Source organism: Homo sapiens, chromosome 17 (assembly GCF_000001405.40).
Source record: "Homo sapiens chromosome 17, GRCh38.p14 Primary Assembly".
Classification (NCBI taxonomy): domain Eukaryota; kingdom Metazoa; phylum Chordata; class Mammalia; order Primates; family Hominidae; genus Homo; species Homo sapiens.
This window is the reverse complement of record NC_000017.11, coordinates 1,928,673-1,946,728: the sequence shown is the minus strand read 5'-3', so window position 1 is coordinate 1,946,728 and position 18,056 is coordinate 1,928,673. Positions and strand designations below refer to the sequence as shown.

General features: G+C 58.3%; 1 protein-coding gene across 1 annotated transcript in view, besides 4 other annotated features; it reads left to right on the top strand.

The window, feature by feature from the left end:
* Window positions 1-12,052, top strand: part of RTN4RL1 (reticulon 4 receptor like 1) — a 90,658-nt gene extending 78,606 nt beyond the window's left edge. The window contains exon 2 of the mRNA NM_178568.4: window positions 8,921-12,052. Within this exon, the coding sequence (NP_848663.1) occupies window positions 8,921-10,233 (1,313 nt within the window). The 3' untranslated portion in view covers window positions 10,234-12,052. The remainder of the gene's footprint in view (window positions 1-8,920) is intronic.
* Window positions 49-607: an enhancer, noted in NCBI's record as "H3K4me1 hESC enhancer chr17:1849416-1849974 (GRCh37/hg19 assembly coordinates)". NCBI's record gives its function as "activates a minimal SCP1, AML or CMV promoter by ChIP-STARR-seq in naive H9 embryonic stem cells {active_cell/tissue: H9 hESC(naive)}" and the evidence as "EXISTENCE:reporter gene assay evidence [ECO:0000049][PMID:30033119]".
* Window positions 3,374-3,565: a silencer, noted in NCBI's record as "fragment chr17:1846458-1846649 (GRCh37/hg19 assembly coordinates)". NCBI's record gives its function as "represses an EF-1alpha promoter that drives an FKBP-Casp9 reporter gene in an ReSE screen in phorbol 12-myristate 13-acetate-treated (for megakaryocytic differentiation) K562 erythroleukemia cells {active_cell/tissue: K562(+PMA)}" and the evidence as "EXISTENCE:reporter gene assay evidence [ECO:0000049][PMID:32094911]".
* Window positions 13,947-14,511: an enhancer, noted in NCBI's record as "H3K4me1 hESC enhancer chr17:1835512-1836076 (GRCh37/hg19 assembly coordinates)". NCBI's record gives its function as "activates a minimal SCP1, AML or CMV promoter by ChIP-STARR-seq in naive H9 embryonic stem cells {active_cell/tissue: H9 hESC(naive)}" and the evidence as "EXISTENCE:reporter gene assay evidence [ECO:0000049][PMID:30033119]".
* Window positions 14,512-15,077: an enhancer, noted in NCBI's record as "H3K4me1 hESC enhancer chr17:1834946-1835511 (GRCh37/hg19 assembly coordinates)". NCBI's record gives its function as "activates a minimal SCP1, AML or CMV promoter by ChIP-STARR-seq in naive H9 embryonic stem cells {active_cell/tissue: H9 hESC(naive)}" and the evidence as "EXISTENCE:reporter gene assay evidence [ECO:0000049][PMID:30033119]".

Genomic DNA, 18,056 nt, shown 5'->3' with positions numbered 1-18,056 from the left:
TCACACAGAGACACACACAGACCCCGTGCACACACACATTCACAGAGATGCACACAGACACACATGCACACACACATATTCACACAGAGATGCACAGACACACGTGCACACAGACACACATTCAACATAGATGCACACAGACCCCGTGCACACACACACATTCACACAGAGACACACACATTTGCCATGCACACACAGACACACAATCACACATAGATCCACGCAGACCCCGTGCACCCACAGACACACATTCAACATAGATGGACACAGACCCTGTGCACACACGTACACATGCCCATGACACACAGGTACACACACCACGCACAGGCTCAGTCTGGGCCCAGGCCGGCCTCCTGGCTGCAGGGACTGAGCGGGACGCATGGTGTTTGAGAAGACACGTGCCTTGTGCCTGCCTGTGTGCCCCTCCCCTTCCTGCATTCAGAGGTTTTTGTTGAGGGAGGCACAGGCTTGGATTTGCCTGACCTGAATGACCTGGATGACTGACCTGTCCTGGTTGGTTGGTTTGTTTGGGACTGTCCTGGTTTTAGCACTGAAAGTCCCACACATCCTGGAAAACCCCTCTGTCCCAGGCAAACCTGCCCTGGTCACCCTGCCCTGGGCCTCTGGCTGGCCTGGGGCTGGATCCTCCTTCCCAGAGCTCTCCTCACCGTGTGGTCACCCCGTGATTGACCAGGAAGCCTCCAGATAGAGCCAGGGCCTAGTCTCTGCTCTCACCCTGGAGGCTCTGAGTCTCCTCGCTTTGGGTAAGCGCCCCTCTGTTTATGGAGCGCCTGCTAGGAGCCAGGCCCTGGGCCTAGGGCTTCCTGAGCAGCATCTCTCAGTCCCCCTGCTGACTCAGAAAGATTCTTCCTTCATCCAGCCATTGTGACAGGTCACCTGCTGGATGCCAGTGTTCTGGGCCCTGAGGGTACTGCGGAGAACACAGCAGGCAAAACCACCGTCCTCACGGAGTCAACATACACTCAGTGCGGAGAGATGGAAAGTCAATAAGAAAAATAAGGAAATCACGTAGTGTATTAGAAGAGGGGGAATGCTGTGGGGTAAAGTGAAGCAGGGCGGCCGGGCGTGGTGGCTCACAACGGTTATCCCAGCACTTTGGGAGGCCCAGGTGGGAGGATTGCTTGAGGCCAGGAGTTTGAAACAAGCCTGGTCAACATAGTGAAACCCCATCTCTATTTTTTAAAAAAAGACTGGGCGCAGTGGCTCACACCTGTAATCCCAGCACTTTGGGAGGCCAAGGCGGTGGATCAAGAGGTTGGGAGTTCAAGACCAGCCTGGCCAACATGGTGAAACCCCATTTCTACTAAAAATACAAAAATTAGCCGGGCATGGTGGCGGGCACCTGTAATCCCAACTACTCAGGAGGATGAGGCGAGAGAATCGCTTGAACCCGGGAGGTGGAGGTTACAGTGAGCTGAGATCGTGCCACTGCACTCCAGCCTGGGTGATAGGTGAGATTCTGTCACAGAAAACAAAAAACAAAACCACCAGGTTGCTCAGACAAGGCCTCAGGGGACTTGGGGCACCTGAGGAAGAGGCAGGGACAGCTGCGAATGGTGGGGTGAGGGCAGGAGTCCCCCAGACACCCTGGGAAGCGCTCCAGGCAGAGGGAACAGCACGTGCAAAAGGCTAGAGGTGGAGCATCCCTGGCGTGAATAGGGTGTATCAGGGAGGCCACTGCGGCTGGGGAGGGAAGGAGGGGGTGGCAGCTCAGATCCAACTGGGCCTCTGGGCCACAGAACAGACTTGGAGGGACCTTACTGAGAGAGATGGGAGCCACAGAGGGGTGCTGGATCTCCCTGCCTACTGTGTCAGATGAGATACAGGGGCGAGGTTGGGGCAGAGGGACCACTTAGGAGCCTATTGCAATAGTCCAGGTGAGAGGTGATGGTTGCCCAGACTAGGGTGGTGGCCATGAGAAGTGGGTAGTTGCGTAATACATTTTGAAGTTGGCCGGGCACGGTGGCTCATGCCTGTAATCCCAGCACTTTGGGAGGCCAAGGTGAACAGATCACCTGAGGTCAGGAGTTTGAGACCAGCCTGGCCAACATGACGAAACACCGTCTCTACTAAAAATACAAAAATTAGCCGGGTGTGGTGGTGGGCACCTGTAATCCCAGCTACTCAGGAGGCTGAGGCAGGAGAATCACTTGAACTCAGGAGGTTGGAAGTTGCAGTGAGCCGAGATCGCACCACTGCACTCCAGCCTGGGGGACAGAGCGAGACTCTGTCTAAAATATTTCTAAGGTGTTTGGCCGGAGAAGCTGAAATGAAGGCGCTGCGTCTGACTGAGATGGATTATATGCGAGTGGAGGAGGCTTGTGGGGGAAGAGCAGAGCTCAGTTTGGGAGGCTTTCGTGTGACAGATGGAGATGTGGGGGAGGCCGACGTCCGCAGACAAGAGGGCCACGCTGGAGCTTTAAATGACTGCCCCATTTTGCAGGTGAGGAAGATGAGGCTCACACAAGCGTGGGGACACACCGGTTAAGTTGAGGATCCAGGGCTGGGCGAGGTAGCTCGCGCCTGTAATCCCAGCACTTCGGGAGGCCGAGCCCAGGAGTTCAAGACCAGCCTGGGGAACATAGTGAGATCCTATTGCTACAAAAAATAAAAAATTCACGGAGCGTGGTGGTGTGGGCCTATATTCCAAGCTGTCTGGGAGGCTGAGGTGGGAGGATCTCCTGAGCCCAGGAGGTTGAGGTTGCAGTGAGCTATGATTGTGCCACTGCACTCCTGCCCAGGCGACAGAGCAAGACCGTGTCTTAAAAAAAAAATAGGATTCAAACTCAGGTCTCTCTGGCTCCAAAGCTTGTGCTCTTTCCAATGCCCTATGCCATGGACAAGGAGCCCCTGCCCATCCTGCACACCCCACGCCCCACGTCCAGCAATAGGACGAGGGAAGCCCAGCTGTGCGCTGGCTGGCTTCCATGTCTCCAGGGCTGAGCCAGGCTCCAGGCGGGGCTGCAGAGGGGATGATGGGCCCACCAGGAAGTGGCCTGTGCTTGGGTGCAGCATGGAGGGACAGTGCCAAGTAGCCTAAGGCGCCAGCAGCCCCAAGTGCAGCCGGCCTGGCCTGAGGCTGTTATCTGACCAGCAGAGAGCATTGGGTTAGCATCGACTGGCATAGAGAGGAGGATCTGCCAATCTGCCAGGACTGGGAAAGCGGGGAGGGGGAGAGAGGGAGGGCTGCAGAGCCAGAGGGATCTTACCGGTCTCCAAGACCCAGAGAGCCCCACGGCCCTGCCCAGGGGGCTGCGGGGATACCAGCCATGGGGCCAGCCCTGCTCAGGCACAGGGAGGGGCAGTCCCTTCGGTGCTGGCAAGTTGGGGTGAGCAGCTCGAGGCTCTGGGGCCTATGAGGGCCAACCAGCCCTTCGTGGAGGACGCCCTGCCCACCACGTGCAGGATGGAGCTGGGGGCAGAGCCCTGGACTTGCAGTCAGCTGGGTTGAGGCCTGCTCGCTGCCCTGTCGCCAGCCATGTGCCGTGGCCGGTGCCTTACCCTGGTGGGCCTCGTTTCCTCCTTTGTGAAATGGGGGCTGTCCTGAGGACTCTGGTACACAGTTAGGGCTGGGTCCGCCTTGGTTGGTCCTGTCCTGCTTCCAGGGGCCGGGAAGCTGCAGAGTGCCCTCCACAATGACCAGCTGTGGCTGGCCGGCCTGGGCCTGGGGCAAGGGCCCTGTGAGGGCTGGTCCCACTGGGGACATCTCTGGCCATCCTGGCTCTGGGTTCCCCCAGCCCAGCTGAGCTGAGGTTACAGCCTCCTTGGAGGCTCTGTGTACTTAGAGCCTGAGAGACAGAGCCAGGGTAGGAAGGGGCACGTCGCCCCCTTCCCACTGCAGGGCCTTCGCACGGGCTGTGGCCATTGCCTTTCCCTTCCCACCATCCTGGCAGGTGTGGCCTCACAGGACAACTTGTAGGCACATCTGGGGCTGCTGAGCGGACCGGGTAGGGTGGCTTCCCGTGCTCAGGCCACCCGCCTGAGCTGCCCCCATGCTCCCTGACCAGCAAGCAGGGACTTGGGGATTTGCAGAAAGGAGGACCTGAACACAACACAGCTCTCCTTGCCTCCTCTGTGCTGGCTGGAATCCTAAGGCAACCCTGTGAGGCAGGGACCCTTCTCCCTGGTTCCCAGATTCATACTCCAGGAGGTGACGGAACAATGTTGGCAGGTGGCACGGGGATGGCAGGGGTCTTTCCTGAGCACCCCCACTTCCCACACACACCTCCAGGGGCCTACCCTAGGCCCCAGCACCTGGCCAGACTGCCTGCTCTTGGGAGCCCCCATCTCCTAGTGAGCCCCCCCATCTGCTAGTGAGCCATGAGGATCCTCCGTATCCCCCCACCCAGTCATTCTGGGCCCTCCCCACTGGCACCCCCCACACCCCGGGGCTCAGGCAGCAAGTGTTGAATGGAGGAGGGAATGAATGAGGCCTCAGAGATGCGGGTGAGCTCAGGCATGTGGGAGGCCAGGAGGTTTGGGGATACCCGAGCAGTCAGCCGAGCACGTGCCCCTGGAGGAGAGGAGGAGCAGGGGGACTCCCCCAGGGAAAGCTTGGGGGAGTTTTGGGGGAGGCCCGGCCTTGCTCTCCTCAGCCCCCTCTGGCAGAGCCACCCCTGGCCCACCCAGGAGGGGACGAGGAGGCTGGTGGGAGGGGTGCAGGGCTCCTCCGGAGAGAGTCTGATCCCTGCTAATTTGCAATCTTAAAATGCACCGCCAAGGCTCGGGCCTCACTTCTGCACATTAATCAGGCAATCAGCGGGTCGGGGCTCCCAAGGGCTGCATGGAGGGGCATGAGAGGAGCCGTGGCAAAGCTGCGCCAGCCTCCCTGGGAGAAACCCAGCAGGGGGACCGTCCAAGACTGGGGCACCCACTGGCTCTGGCAGGGGGTACCAGAGGCGGCGGGGCCAGCTGGGACAGCTGGTCCAGGTCTTGGAGATGGGACCAACTTCCAGCGTGCAGAAGCACTCAGCAGAGACATCCCTACTCTCCAGGAGGAGGGGCAGGGGTGCCTGGAAGGACAGCTTCCCTGGGGTGGGTCCCCTGCATCTGGGCAGTACCCAAGGTCGGTGAGCACTCCCCCGGGCTCGGATCCCCCCCCACCGCCTGGCCCCCGAGGGGCCCTCCACCATCCTCAGGCACTGGGACGGGAGGGGCTGCCCACACTGGTGCCTGTGGCTTGTTGCCCGGCCCCCGCCCCAGGCCCCTGATACAATGGCTTGTTCTTCCTTGAGACCGGGAATGTGAGCCAGGCCCTGCACCAAGCCTGGAGCCCTCTCAGAGGAGGGGCAGGAGGGTTCCTGCCCTGGGTCTTCACTCCACCCCTGCTCTCTGACCCCTCCCACCCACGGCACACCCACGAGCCACGTACCAAGCCCACTCCTGGATGTGGGGGCCATTTGGCTTTTTCACCTAAACTGGGGTCCTTGCCTGGTGTCCCCTGTTTCCTGACATCCCTTGGAGGCACCTGCTTTGTGTCTGACGGGGAAATGTCTCTCCGTGGGACCCGCTATTAGCTTCTCCGGGTGTCATTTCAGAGAACTGCATCCTGGACCTTACAGAGATAGCCACACAGTGGGTGAAGGAGGGCTCCCCACACCCCAGCACACCGGGTAGTCCTGAGGCTCAGGGGAGTGTGAGCAGAAGCACTTTGTAAACTCCAGTAAGCTGTGCAAATGTCGAGTGGGATTAGCGCTGAGCCGGACACATATCACCCCGTCCCCCTGCCGCAAGGCCTCTCTTGCTGCAGCCCAAGGGACGAAATGGCTTTGTCTTTGCAGAATGGCCTGGCTGTGGCCCCGTCCCCAAAAGCCTGAGATGTGGGATGAGAAGCAGTGAACACCATGAACACCCTTGAGCTAGGAGGGGCACCCTGGCTCCCTCAGGGTGGCAGAGCGGGGCGGCTCCCTGGGGGAGGAAGCTTCCTACAGGTGCGGGAAGCACCTTCCTGGAGGGTAGCAGCCCGAGGAGGGGTGAGGAGTGTGAGCTGAGAGAGACGGGGAGTGTCGGCTCTGTGGAAGGTGCAGCTGGTGTGGGTTGGGGCCCCCTCCCAGCCCTGGGTGTGGAGGGTTCAGGCAGTGGGCAGGCTTCCCAAAAGTCAAGTGGGGTTTGGAGCCCAGGTTCCTCCCCCAACACACCCCTGCCTCCCCCTGCAGGCTGGGTCTCCTTGGGCAGATGGAGGCAGGCAGCAGGGGCTGGAAGCCAGATCTGAGCCTCCAAGTGGAGACGGTGGACACTGCCATCATCTCCTACGTGTGGTAGGAGGGGAAACTGAGGTAGGAGGGGGAAACAGCAGCAGCCTCGGCCCAGCCTGCGGGCTGTGCACTGGGCGGGACAGAAGTCACTGCAGAGAGCACAGAGAGCACGGCTTGGCCCAGAAAGGGTCCTTGAAGCTGTGCCACCGCCACCGCTGAAGTCATAATTCCTCTGAATTCGCAACCGAGCCCAATTATGCAAAAAAAACAAATTATGTACGATGATTTTTATGTGTTGGAAATGTTCAGTCGAAGCCGGGTGATTACAGGGGACGGGAAGCAGCTGCCACTCTCTGGGAGCCCATAACTCCCAACAGCTGGGAGCTGTCACTTATTTACGAGGCTGTTTCTGCCAGGAACGAGGGGGTGACAGTGGCGGTGAGGCCTGCTGGGCCGTGAGCCTGGGCAGGCAGCGGCACGAGGCCGGGAGCAGGGCTGGCCCGAGAGTGGCCAGAGGGTTGGTTCTCTCATCCCACAAGCTCTGGGTACAGCTGCAGCAGAGACTCAGCTGCCCTGGGTGCCCCGGCTCTCCCATGAGGCCTGGCTGGAAAGCTAGAAGCAAAGGGGCTGGAGGCTAGCTGGGTAGGGAGGAGATGGCTGCCTGGCCCTCCAGGGTGGGGGCCTGGAGGCCTGGAGCCGGCCCCCCAACCTCGGCGCGCCTGCCTGGCCGCCTGGGGCAGCTGGGACCCTGGAAAAAGGTAGGTAATGACGATCGTCCGTAATGAGGGTGCTCCAATAATGAGCACGGGGCTATTATCCGACCACAGGCTGGACACATCGGAAAATAAATTATTTTAAGGATCCATTAACGAATGCCTAATTAATGCCCAATTAGAGGGAAGCTACAGAGGAAACGCTCTGGACAGTCGAGAGGCAAGGCCTGGTTTTGCAACCACAGCCTGGAGGCTGGAGTGAGGTGGGAGAGGGGAGTGGCCAGAAGGTGGGCCGGGATTGGGGCAGCCTCGCCTGACAGCTGGTGCCACCCCCAGACCTTCACAGACAGGCGCCCTCTCAGGACATCCACACAGCTCTGCCAGGGAGAACTGCTATTGTCTGTATTTTATTTATTTATTTATTTATTTATTTATTTATTTATTTATTGAGACGGAGTTTCGCTCTGTCGCCCAGGCTGGAGTGCAGTGGCACGATCTCAGCTCACTGCAAGCTCCACCTCCCGGGTTCACGCTATTCTCCTGCCTCAGCCTCCCAAGTAGCTGGGACTACAAGTGCGCGCCACCACGCCCGGCTAATTTTTTTGTATTTTTAGTAGAGACGGGGTTTCGCCGTGTTAGCCAGGATGGTCTCGATCTCCTGACCTCGTGATCCGCCCGCCTCGGCCTCCCAAAGTGCTGAGACTACAGGTGTGAGCCACTGCTCCCGGCCTTTATTTTATTTATTTATTTTTTTTGAGACAGAATCTCACTTTGTCACCCAGGCTGGAGTGTGGTAGTGCAATCTCAGCTCACTGCAACCTCCGCCTCCCAGGTTCAAACGATTCTCCTGCCTCAGCCTCCTGAGTACTACTGAGCCTCCTGAGTAGCCACCCGGCTAATTTTTGTGTTTTTAGTAGAGACAGGGTTTCACCATGTTGGCTAGGGTGGTGTTGAACTCCTGACCTCAGGTGATCCGCCTGCCTCGGCTTCCCAAAGTGTTGGGATTACAGGCGTGAGCCACCGCGCCCGGCCATGTCTGTATTTCAGAAATGAGGAAACTGAGGCTTAGAAGGGGTGTTGCCCGTATGTTTTGAGGATGTGGAAGACACTGTAAATGTAAAGGAGACATTATTTGAGGTGAACTTTGGTGCCACGCATGCATGCTGTGCTTGTAATTGGGAATGATTCAAATAAAGAGATTCTGGCCGGGCGCGGTGGCTCACACCTGTAATCCCAGCACTTTGGGAGGCCAAGGCAGATCACCTGAGGCGGGGAGTTCGAGACCAGCCTGGCCAACATGGAGAAACCCCGTCTCTACTAAAAATACAAAAACTACCTGGGCGTGATGGTGCGCACCTATAATCCCAGCTACTCAGGAGGCTGAGGCAGAGAATCACTTGAACCCCGGAGGCGGAGGTTGCAGTGAGCCCAGATCCCGCCACTGCACTCCAGCCTGGGCAACAGAGTGAGACTCCATTCAAAAAAAAAATTAAATTCAATAAAAAATAAAAATAAATAAATAGAGATTCTTCAGGACTCTGCATGAGATATTTACTACATTAGAGCAAGAGTCCTTCCCAATATCCGTGAGCACAGATAACAACAACCAGCGGCACAGCTAGGAGGAGAGCAGGAGGCTGACGGCTGTGTCCCTGGGTCATGACCTACACCCCAGCAGTGTGACAGAGCTGGAGCAGGTGGGGCTGGGGCTCAGCAGCTGTGGGGTGGAACTAAGGAGGTGTGGGGGTGATTGGGGCCTTCACCCCAGACTCACCTCCCAGCCCAGCAGAAGTGGGTCACCAAGGAGGGGAGGCCTCTCATCCCCGACGGGTTCCAGGCTTGGGCCTTGACCCTGGCCTTGCTCCAGCCAGGGACAAGGCTCTCACGGAGCTCAGCCAAGACGAGGATGCGTCCTCGGCGGGCGCCGGAGGGTGCGGTGCCAGTCCTCACCTGCACGGCCCCTGACCTGGCTGTGCTCTCTCTCCCTGCCAGGGTGCTGTGTGGAGTTGCTGCTGCTGTTGGTAGCTGCGGAGCTGCCCCTGGGTGGTGGCTGCCCACGGGACTGTGTGTGCTACCCGGCGCCCATGACGGTCAGCTGCCAGGCGCACAACTTTGCAGCCATCCCGGAGGGCATCCCCGTGGACAGCGAGCGCGTCTTCCTGCAGAACAACCGCATCGGCCTCCTCCAGCCCGGCCACTTCAGCCCCGCCATGGTCACCCTGTGGATCTACTCGAACAACATCACCTACATCCACCCCAGCACCTTCGAGGGCTTCGTGCACCTGGAGGAGCTGGACCTCGGCGACAACCGGCAGCTGCGGACGCTGGCACCCGAGACCTTCCAGGGCCTGGTGAAGCTTCACGCCCTCTACCTCTACAAGTGTGGGCTCAGCGCCTTGCCGGCCGGCGTCTTTGGCGGCCTGCACAGCCTGCAGTACCTCTACCTGCAGGACAACCACATCGAGTACCTCCAGGACGACATCTTCGTGGACCTGGTCAACCTCAGCCACCTGTTTCTCCACGGCAACAAGCTGTGGAGTCTGGGCCCGGGCACCTTCCGGGGCCTGGTGAACCTGGACCGTCTTTTGCTGCACGAGAACCAGCTGCAGTGGGTCCACCACAAGGCGTTCCACGACCTCCGCAGGCTGACCACCCTCTTCCTCTTCAACAACAGCCTCTCGGAGCTGCAGGGTGAGTGCCTGGCCCCGCTGGGGGCCCTGGAGTTCCTCCGCCTCAACGGCAACCCCTGGGACTGTGGTTGTCGCGCGCGCTCCCTGTGGGAATGGCTGCAGAGGTTCCGGGGCTCCAGCTCCGCTGTCCCCTGTGTGTCCCCTGGGCTGCGGCACGGCCAGGACCTGAAGCTGCTGAGGGCCGAGGACTTCCGGAACTGCACGGGACCAGCGTCCCCGCACCAGATCAAGTCACACACGCTCACCACCACCGACAGGGCCGCCCGCAAGGAACACCACTCACCCCACGGCCCCACCAGGAGCAAGGGCCACCCGCACGGCCCCCGGCCCGGCCACAGGAAGCCGGGGAAGAACTGCACCAACCCCAGGAACCGCAATCAGATCTCTAAGGCGGGCGCCGGGAAACAGGCCCCCGAGCTGCCAGACTATGCCCCAGACTACCAGCACAAGTTCAGTTTTGACATCATGCCTACGGCCCGGCCCAAGAGGAAGGGCAAGTGTGCCCGCAGGACCCCCATCCGTGCCCCCAGCGGGGTGCAGCAGGCCTCCTCGGCCAGTTCCCTGGGGGCCTCCCTCCTGGCCTGGACACTGGGGCTGGCGGTCACTCTCCGCTGAGGACCCAGGGCGTCAGCACCCAGCACTGCCACATGTCCACCAAGGAACAGAATTTATTTTCTTCTTTTTTTAACAAGTGGAAGATCTGCTGGGTTTCAGGAAAAGGCTGGTAGAGCCTTCGGCTGCTGTCTGGACGTCTGGACCCTGCCATGTGGATTATAAACCCAAAGTGTACAGCCCTAGGCGGGAGGGGGTGGCGCTTCTCAGCCGGCTGTCCCAGCCAGCCCCGCAGAGCGCCCACGGACAGTGTCCACTCTGGCAAGGTGGGAAAAGGCACTCCAAGTGCATCCTCCACTGGCAACAGTGGGACAATTGCCCCCGACGGCGGCACCGGGGCTCTGTGGAATCCCGATCGTTCCGAGAGGTCTGGAGGGCCCCGTGGTTCCTGGAGAAAGCAGGACGCAGAGAAGAACAAATGAGGCTCACCCACGAGGCTGGGTGGCCAGCAGTCTGGGCACACACGAGCAGGTGGCATCTTGGCTCTTGCCTGAGGCCAGTCACCCTGCCCTGAATTCTATCCTACTCCACCTTCAGCCCCTCCCTCGGGGGTAGCGCCTCTCATTCCTGATGTCTCAGGCAACCCTGGCAGACCCAGGTCCAACTGCTGGGGTCCAAGAACCAATTACCAAAGGAAAGATCATCAGAGGCTGAAATCTAGAACTTCATCCCGGGCAATGAGGTTCTCACAGAAGGTGCAGTTTTATAACTAACTACGTCCACTTATATATATTCACACTCTACATATATATATATATATATATATATATATATATATATATATATACACAAATGCACAGTCCCCCTCCCACTCCGTTACCTAACTGTACGTCTTTTCATGTTTATAAACTATACAGAAAACTGTATTTGCTGAACTAAGGATTGTATTGGTGATTTCTAGCAAAAACAAAGTGATAGAATTTTTGTCTAGAATCCCAAACTGGCAACGATAGTCTCCAAGGGACCTGGCCTTGCCAAGGGCCTGGGGCAAGGTGTCGGCGGGACGGTGAGGAAGGGGGAGGCAGCAAGAGTCACTTTGGGGGACCAATATTCTTAGATATTTAGAGCATCACCTTGTTTTTATATGCAACACAAGCCTGTCTGCCACCCTGGAGCGCCCTGTCACCCCTGCTGTCGTAGCTGTTGGCTTCAGGGTGAGAAGTGAGAAGCAGCTTATTGTATATGAGGGAGCCAGGCCCCGAGGGTGAGCGAGATGGAGAAGGGGAAGGAAGGGGCTTTGGGATCTGGAAACCAGCAGGCCAGGCAGCATCCACAGTGTTAGTCCAAAGGGTCGGACCGTGTCGTCAGCCTAGCGTTTGGTCAGTGACGGCCTGGACGGGCCAAGGAGACTCCGGGCTTGAGCCCAGGCCTCCCGCACGGCTCAGCTGCTGAATTTTTCCTTGAGGCTGTTTGGTGTGTGACCCAGCAAGGGCCCTGTGTGGGACAGCAGGAGGGAGGCGTCGGGGGCCTTAGCAGAAGGGGAACAATGAGGGCATTTCATGAACCATCTCAGGCACTTCTGCATCACGGAAGACCTGGCCCTCCCAGCCGTCCTGGGGATGCTCAGGGTGCAGGCAGAGGCTCGGGAGGCCGGACTCAGGGGTCAGAAGCAGGGACTGGGGCAGGCGAGCCCGGACAGGGAAGAGGGGCTCCGATCAAAGCCGGCCGTGCTGCTGGCCGGGGGCCCAGGTGGGTACAAGCTCCTTTGTGCTTTGCACAAACCTGAATCCCCCACCAGAGAGGATGTGTGTGAGGAGCCAGAAACGCTGAATCCAATTAAGAGAGAAAAATAATAATAACAATAAATGATCTTGGACAAGAACCCTGTTTTTCATTTCCTAACCCCGCATTCCCGACAGGTGGCAGATCCTGGGCTTCTGTGGGTGGGCGAGCCTGGCCGGGCACAGCTCTGGGAACACAGCACATTTGTTGGCGGGAGGAGCCGCAGGGGGCAGGGGCGCACTGATTCACGGGACACATGAGAGCACGCACACCCTGGTGCTCCGTTTCGTGGCACTTCCCTTGCCCGCACAGATCATGATTCACTTTCCACATTCTGACTGCCCCGGGTCGGCACCATCTCCGTGGCTCTCCCCGGAGGAGGCTGGTCCTGGGTCCTTCCTGGCCTATTCCCGGGAGTCTCCGGAGCAATGGCTAAGTGACTGATCCTCAGGGCGCCCGGCAGGCGGCTGGTGGGGACGGGCGGCTGCAAGGAAACAGTCAGTACCTGGGGCCCAAGGAGTTTTCCAGGAGGCTAGGGACCCACCCGGACAGCTGTGGGTGGGCTTGGAGACTGCACACGTCTCTCTGGCTTCAGAGAAAGGAGAGGGTTCCCCGGATAGAGGGAGGAAGGCTGTGTTTTCAGGCCTGGCTGGACAAATCCTCCTCAGTATGAGGCTTGGGGCATTCACTAAAGGGAGCCCAGTGACTGCAGACCAAAGAATCCTCAGCCTGCACCTGCTCCCCTGTGGCCTGCAGGCTCTGACCCAGGCCGAGGTGCTAGGGCCTGGCTGTCCCTTAGAACCCAAGGATGTTGTTGTGTTGTTGATTTCATTTCCAGCTTCAGACAGCAAGGCCCTCAGTGGGAAAATCAAGAGTCTAAGCACTTTATTAATTTTTTTTTTAAAAAAAGACTTAGGAAGTCCTGTAATATGGAAGTGAAATGTCAGTACGAGAAATGCTAATGTTTTATAAATGATCCGCTTCTGTCAAGCACAGCACAGTCTCTGGTTGCCGACTGTTATTAGAGGCAAGGCAGTGGGGGCCCAGGACGCCAGGTATTTTTAGCAGCTTTCTCCTCTAAGAGGTAGGGGGAATCAAGGCAGCTCTGTTGCAGACGACATCAGTTGTCACTCAGCAGCTCATGCTACGCAGTTATGATGACACCATCGCCCCAAACATCAAAGCAACTGGACGCGTCAGGGGCGAGGCAAAAGCTTCTCTATTCGCCAGCTCCAGCCCCTTGCGTCTGGTTCAGGGCATGGAGATGCAGATTCCTGTGGTCTTCCCAGAGGCGGGGGCCACCCCTCCGCTGCCATCTTCCCACTTTCCCTGGACCCCCAGAGGGAGTCATCTCTTCTCCCTCCCAGCCCTCCTGCCACACAGGCCTCCACTGTGGACTGATGGGGACAGAGCCACCCCTGTTGGAGGGGCTGGGTGGCCACTGGTGGTCTCCACTGTGGACTGACGGGGACAGAGCCACCCCTGTTGGAGGGGCTGGGTGGCCACTGAAGGCCTCCACTGTGGACTGATGGGGACAGAGCCACCCCTGTCGGAGGGGCTGGATGGCCACTGGTGGTCTCTAAGGCCTTTCACACAAGCTCCTCCCCTGACCCCAGAGCTTGGCTGGCTCTGCATAGTTCATTCAACAAGGGCTGATCAGGGACCTCCGTGTCCAGCCACTGGCCAGGCTCTGGGGACATAAACGTGAGAAGACGTGGCTCGGGGCAAAAGGAGCTCAGAGCCTAGATGTAGAAACAAGTATTCGCAACTGGTATGGAGTTGGCGCTTGTGGTAGCACCCCTCGGCCCCCAAAATGAGGAGCTCAGCTGGGTGGGGGCAGTCAGAGAGGGCTTCCAGGCAGAGGTGACACTCCAATGAGTCTTGGAGGATGAGGAGCCACCCAGAGAAGAGTGTGGGGAGTAGGGCTAGAGGTGGTAACAGCACTGTGTCTGGGGTATCCACAAACCACTCCCAGCTGAGGGCATGGGAGACGCGCCCTGTATGGGAGCGGCCCAGGGGACTCTGCTCAGGGACTCCACTCTGCCGTGGAAGTGGAGGGGCTGTGCGGTCCCCCCGACCTGGTCGTCCTCCCGCCCACCCCCCCCAGCCTGTCCATAGGCACGTGGTTTCTGACCGTGGCAACCTTGCCGCGGTTCTTCAACAGTGGGTTTCATGGTGGAAACTTGCCTCCTGGGCTCAGCCAGATCCTCCCCTGGTGCCAGCAAGCTGGAGCGCTCGCTGGAAGTCTGCCTGGGCCACAGGCCCATTCCCAGACACCTGCTGCTTCCAAGCTTGGGAAGCATTCCACGGCCTGCGCTCCCTGCTTCCCAGCCGCGGCCGCCCTCAGCCCCTCCTGACTTCGGAGCAGCTCAGATCACCCCGGCGCTTCTGCCTGTGCGGGCTGTGACCATCAGCCAGCCCCAGAGCCCCTCCCACCAACCGCACCCCTCCTCTCCTGCCGGGGCTGTTCTTTGCAAAAGCCAAGAATCCCATTTAGCAAATGTTTACTCATCACCCAGCTAATCACCAGCGCTCTGCCGCCACGGTGAATGGGCTCCAGGAAGGCCTGTGAGCAGGTTGGGGGGAGCGGGAGAGCCCGGGAGGCCTCGTGGAGGGCAAGCTGCAGGGACTGGGGTCAGAGGGAAGGAGTTTGCTGCGGAGGCTCCCTGGAGCCACCGAGCCCTCAGCAAATTCCCCTGGACATGCACGCCCGCTTCCCAGGCAGGCCCCACCAGCCCATGAGCCGACCCACCTCTCTGCCAGGGACCCAGCTCCTCCGGGCCCTACTCTATGCTGACCTAGGGAGGCAGTCTTTCTCTGCGTTTATTTGTCCTACTCTATGCTGACCTAGGGAGGCAGTCTTTCTCTGCGTTTATTTGTAGCCTCCTGAGGCTCAAACAATCCTCCTGCCTCAGCCTCCTGATTAGCTGGGACTACAGGGACACACCACCATACCAGGCTAATTGTTTTATTATTTATTTATTTATTTATTTTTTGAGACAGAGTCTTGCTCTGTCGCCCAGGATGGAGTGCAGTGGCGCGATCTTGGCTCACTGCAACCTCCACCTCCCGGGTTCAAGCGATTCTCCTGTCTCAGCCTCCCAAGAACCTGGGATTACAGGAGCAAGCCACCGTGCACGGCTAATTTTTGTATTTTTAATAGAGATGGGTTTTCTCTACATTGGCCAGGCTAGTCTCGAACTCCTGACCTCATGGGATCCACTTGCCTCAGCCTCCCAAAGTGCTGGGATTGTAGGTGCGAGCCACCACGCCCAGCTAATTTTTTAACTTTTTAGTAGAGATAGGGTTTCACCATGTTGGCCAGGCTGGTCTCGAACTCCTGACCTCAAGAGATCCGCCCACCTCGGCCTCCCAAAGTGCTGGGATTACAGGCTGGGCCAGCGCACCTGGCTGGTGTTCATTCTTTGAGGAGGGGTGGGTGCATGCTTTGATGGAGTCCCTTCCAGCCCCCGTTCTGAAGCCTCCTGACCCGGTTCAGCTCCCCGCCTTGCCCTCTAACTTCACTTTCCTCTAAGCAGGAGTTCAGCCATCAGCCGCGACTCCATCCCCATCACCAATCCCCCACTATCAGCTCGTAATGGGCCAATTTTCTTTTACCTTCTGTCTACTTGGAAAATATCTCAAGAACCTTTGATTGTGCGTTAAAATATCCTTTAGAATTCTATGCTCGGTATCTTTCTGCTCCTCTAATTGTCCCTTTTAACTCACCGTGCTTTCCGTATAAATCTCCCGGTCTCCTCCTTCCCAGGCTGTTAATAAATATGAGCTCTAAAAAAATACATAAACATCTATTGTTGGCTAAATAACTCACGGCACAATCAAAAAGCCGGGAAAAGAAGAGAGGCTCGGCGCGTCGCATGGCCACCTGAGCACCCTCCCTCGCGCGGTCCTGCCGGTCTCTCCAGAGAGGGCTGCTGAAGGCAGGGGAGTCTGGGCCCTGAAGAGCCCATGAGGTGAAGGGACCCTGGGGGAGAAAAGGAAGCGAGGCAGAGAGAGTAGCTGTACTACCAGGGGGACAGGGCTCTCTCCAAGAGCGCCGAGTGAGGGGTTTGGACAAAGGAGACCCTCGTGCAGGGAGCAGCGGCTGGTTTAAGTGGCATTTCAGTGGGCTGGCCGCCAAGGCCCCTCACCACCACAAGAAGTGGGTCAGCCTCCTCTGACACCAGCGCCAGCCCACAAGGAGGGGGCCCGCCCCCATCTCTCTCCTCTCTGCCCTCATTTCTCATTAGAGCCGTTAGTTTCTAAGCTCCAGGAGGGTGGGGAAGGATGTGCCTTTGTGTCACCGATTCCTGTGTGGCAGCGTGCACACTAATGGCATGCCTGAACGGCAGAATTTGACATTGCTGCTGCAAGATGTGCTTGGGTCACAGTGCTTTCCAAATTGGCTGAGGCTCCACGCCACCCCCCTCCTCCCTCACCCAGGCGCCTCAGAGCCCCCGCCAGCCACTGCTTCTGCAGCTCCCTCTGAGGGCCTCGGAAAAGAGAGAGGAAGCAAGAGATGTATTAAACTCTTCCATCTCTGTAAGCACCATTTCCCAGGAGACCGACTCTAAGGAAGAAGGAAACACAAGTGCTGGAGGCCTACACAGGTAGGAGGTTGGGAGGAGGCACCAGGCTTCGTGTCTCCTCTCCCCACCCCCGGTACTGCTTTGGGGACAGTCCCTGGCAAGACAAGAATGCCCTCTGAGTGGCAGCATCCAGGTGGCCACGCGCCACTCCAGCCAGAGAGATTGGAGGGATAATTGCCACGTAAGACTTGCTCAGTGATGAGAGGCCGGGGGGACAAACCCACAGAGGAAACAATAGCATGGACTGGATGGGCAGGGGAAGGTGGTCTCTAAGCAAGACCCCAAAGGATGCACATGTACAGTCTCACTTGGAGAGAGAGGGCACAGCTCTGCGGGGCAGCCGTATAGCCAAACAGGCAGAAGGAGGAAAATATGCAGACGGGCGCCGCGTTAGGGAGAGGCTTTTGCACACACACGTGCACATGCCTCTCTGGCACGGCGTCCTGCCTCTCTCCCTTGTGCAGTCTCATGCAGCCTAGTGTGGGACATTCACATAGTCAATAGATTCGGGCCAGGCGTGGTGGCTCATGCCTGTAATCCCAGCACTTTGGGAGGCCGAGGCGGGCAGATCACAAGGTCAAGAAATTGAGACCATCCTGGCAAACATGGTGAAACCCCGTCTCTACTAAAAATACAAACATTAGCTGGGCGTGGTGGCAGGCGCCTGTAGTCCCAGCTACTCAGGAGGCTGAGGCAGGAGAATGGCGTGAACACGGGAGGCGGAGCTTGCAATGAGCCAAGATCGCGCCACTACACTCCAGCCTGGGCGACAGAGTGAGACTCCATCTCAAAAAAAAAAAAAAAAGAAAAGAAAAGAAAAGAAACAAAACAAAACAGATTTGAGCCCTGGCCATGTGCAAGGCCCCGGCCAGCGCTGGGACTGCCGGGTGAACACGAGGGCCTCCCCATGTGCAGCTGACATACCAGCCAAGGAGGCAGTGGCAGAAAACCAAATCCCTCTTTATCTAATTGCCATGGTAGTTGTCAGGAGAGAGGCAGCAGAGTCTGTCACGCAGCTGTCACTCAGGAAGAGTGAAGAGTGGGGCTGAGCCCCGCCCTCCACGCAGGCTGGTGGCCATCTGTCAGGGACACAGACGCTTGTGTGATAAGTGGGCAGATTCTGGGCTGCGCCCTGAGTGGCGGCATTTCCCACTGAGCCCTGGCCCTAAAGGAGTTTATCTGACTTGGAGTGGGTGGAGGCGTCGAGGGCAGGAAGCCCCTAGTCCCACCCGATGCCTCGCCTGTCCAGTGTGAGCTTGGAGGGTCTGTACTCCCCCTGCGGGCTGGGGTGCACTGACATTCTCCCCTGTACCAGGGACCACGGGGTCCCCAAGTTGTTTTTGTTTTTTGTTTGTTTGTTTTTGAGACGGAGTTTCACTCTTGTTACCCAGGCTGGAGTGCTGTGGCGTGATCTCGGCTCACTGGACCTCCACCTCCCGGTTTCAAGCAATTCTCCGGCCTCAACCTCCCGAGTAGCTGGGACTACAAGCGCCCACCACCACGCCCGGCTAATTT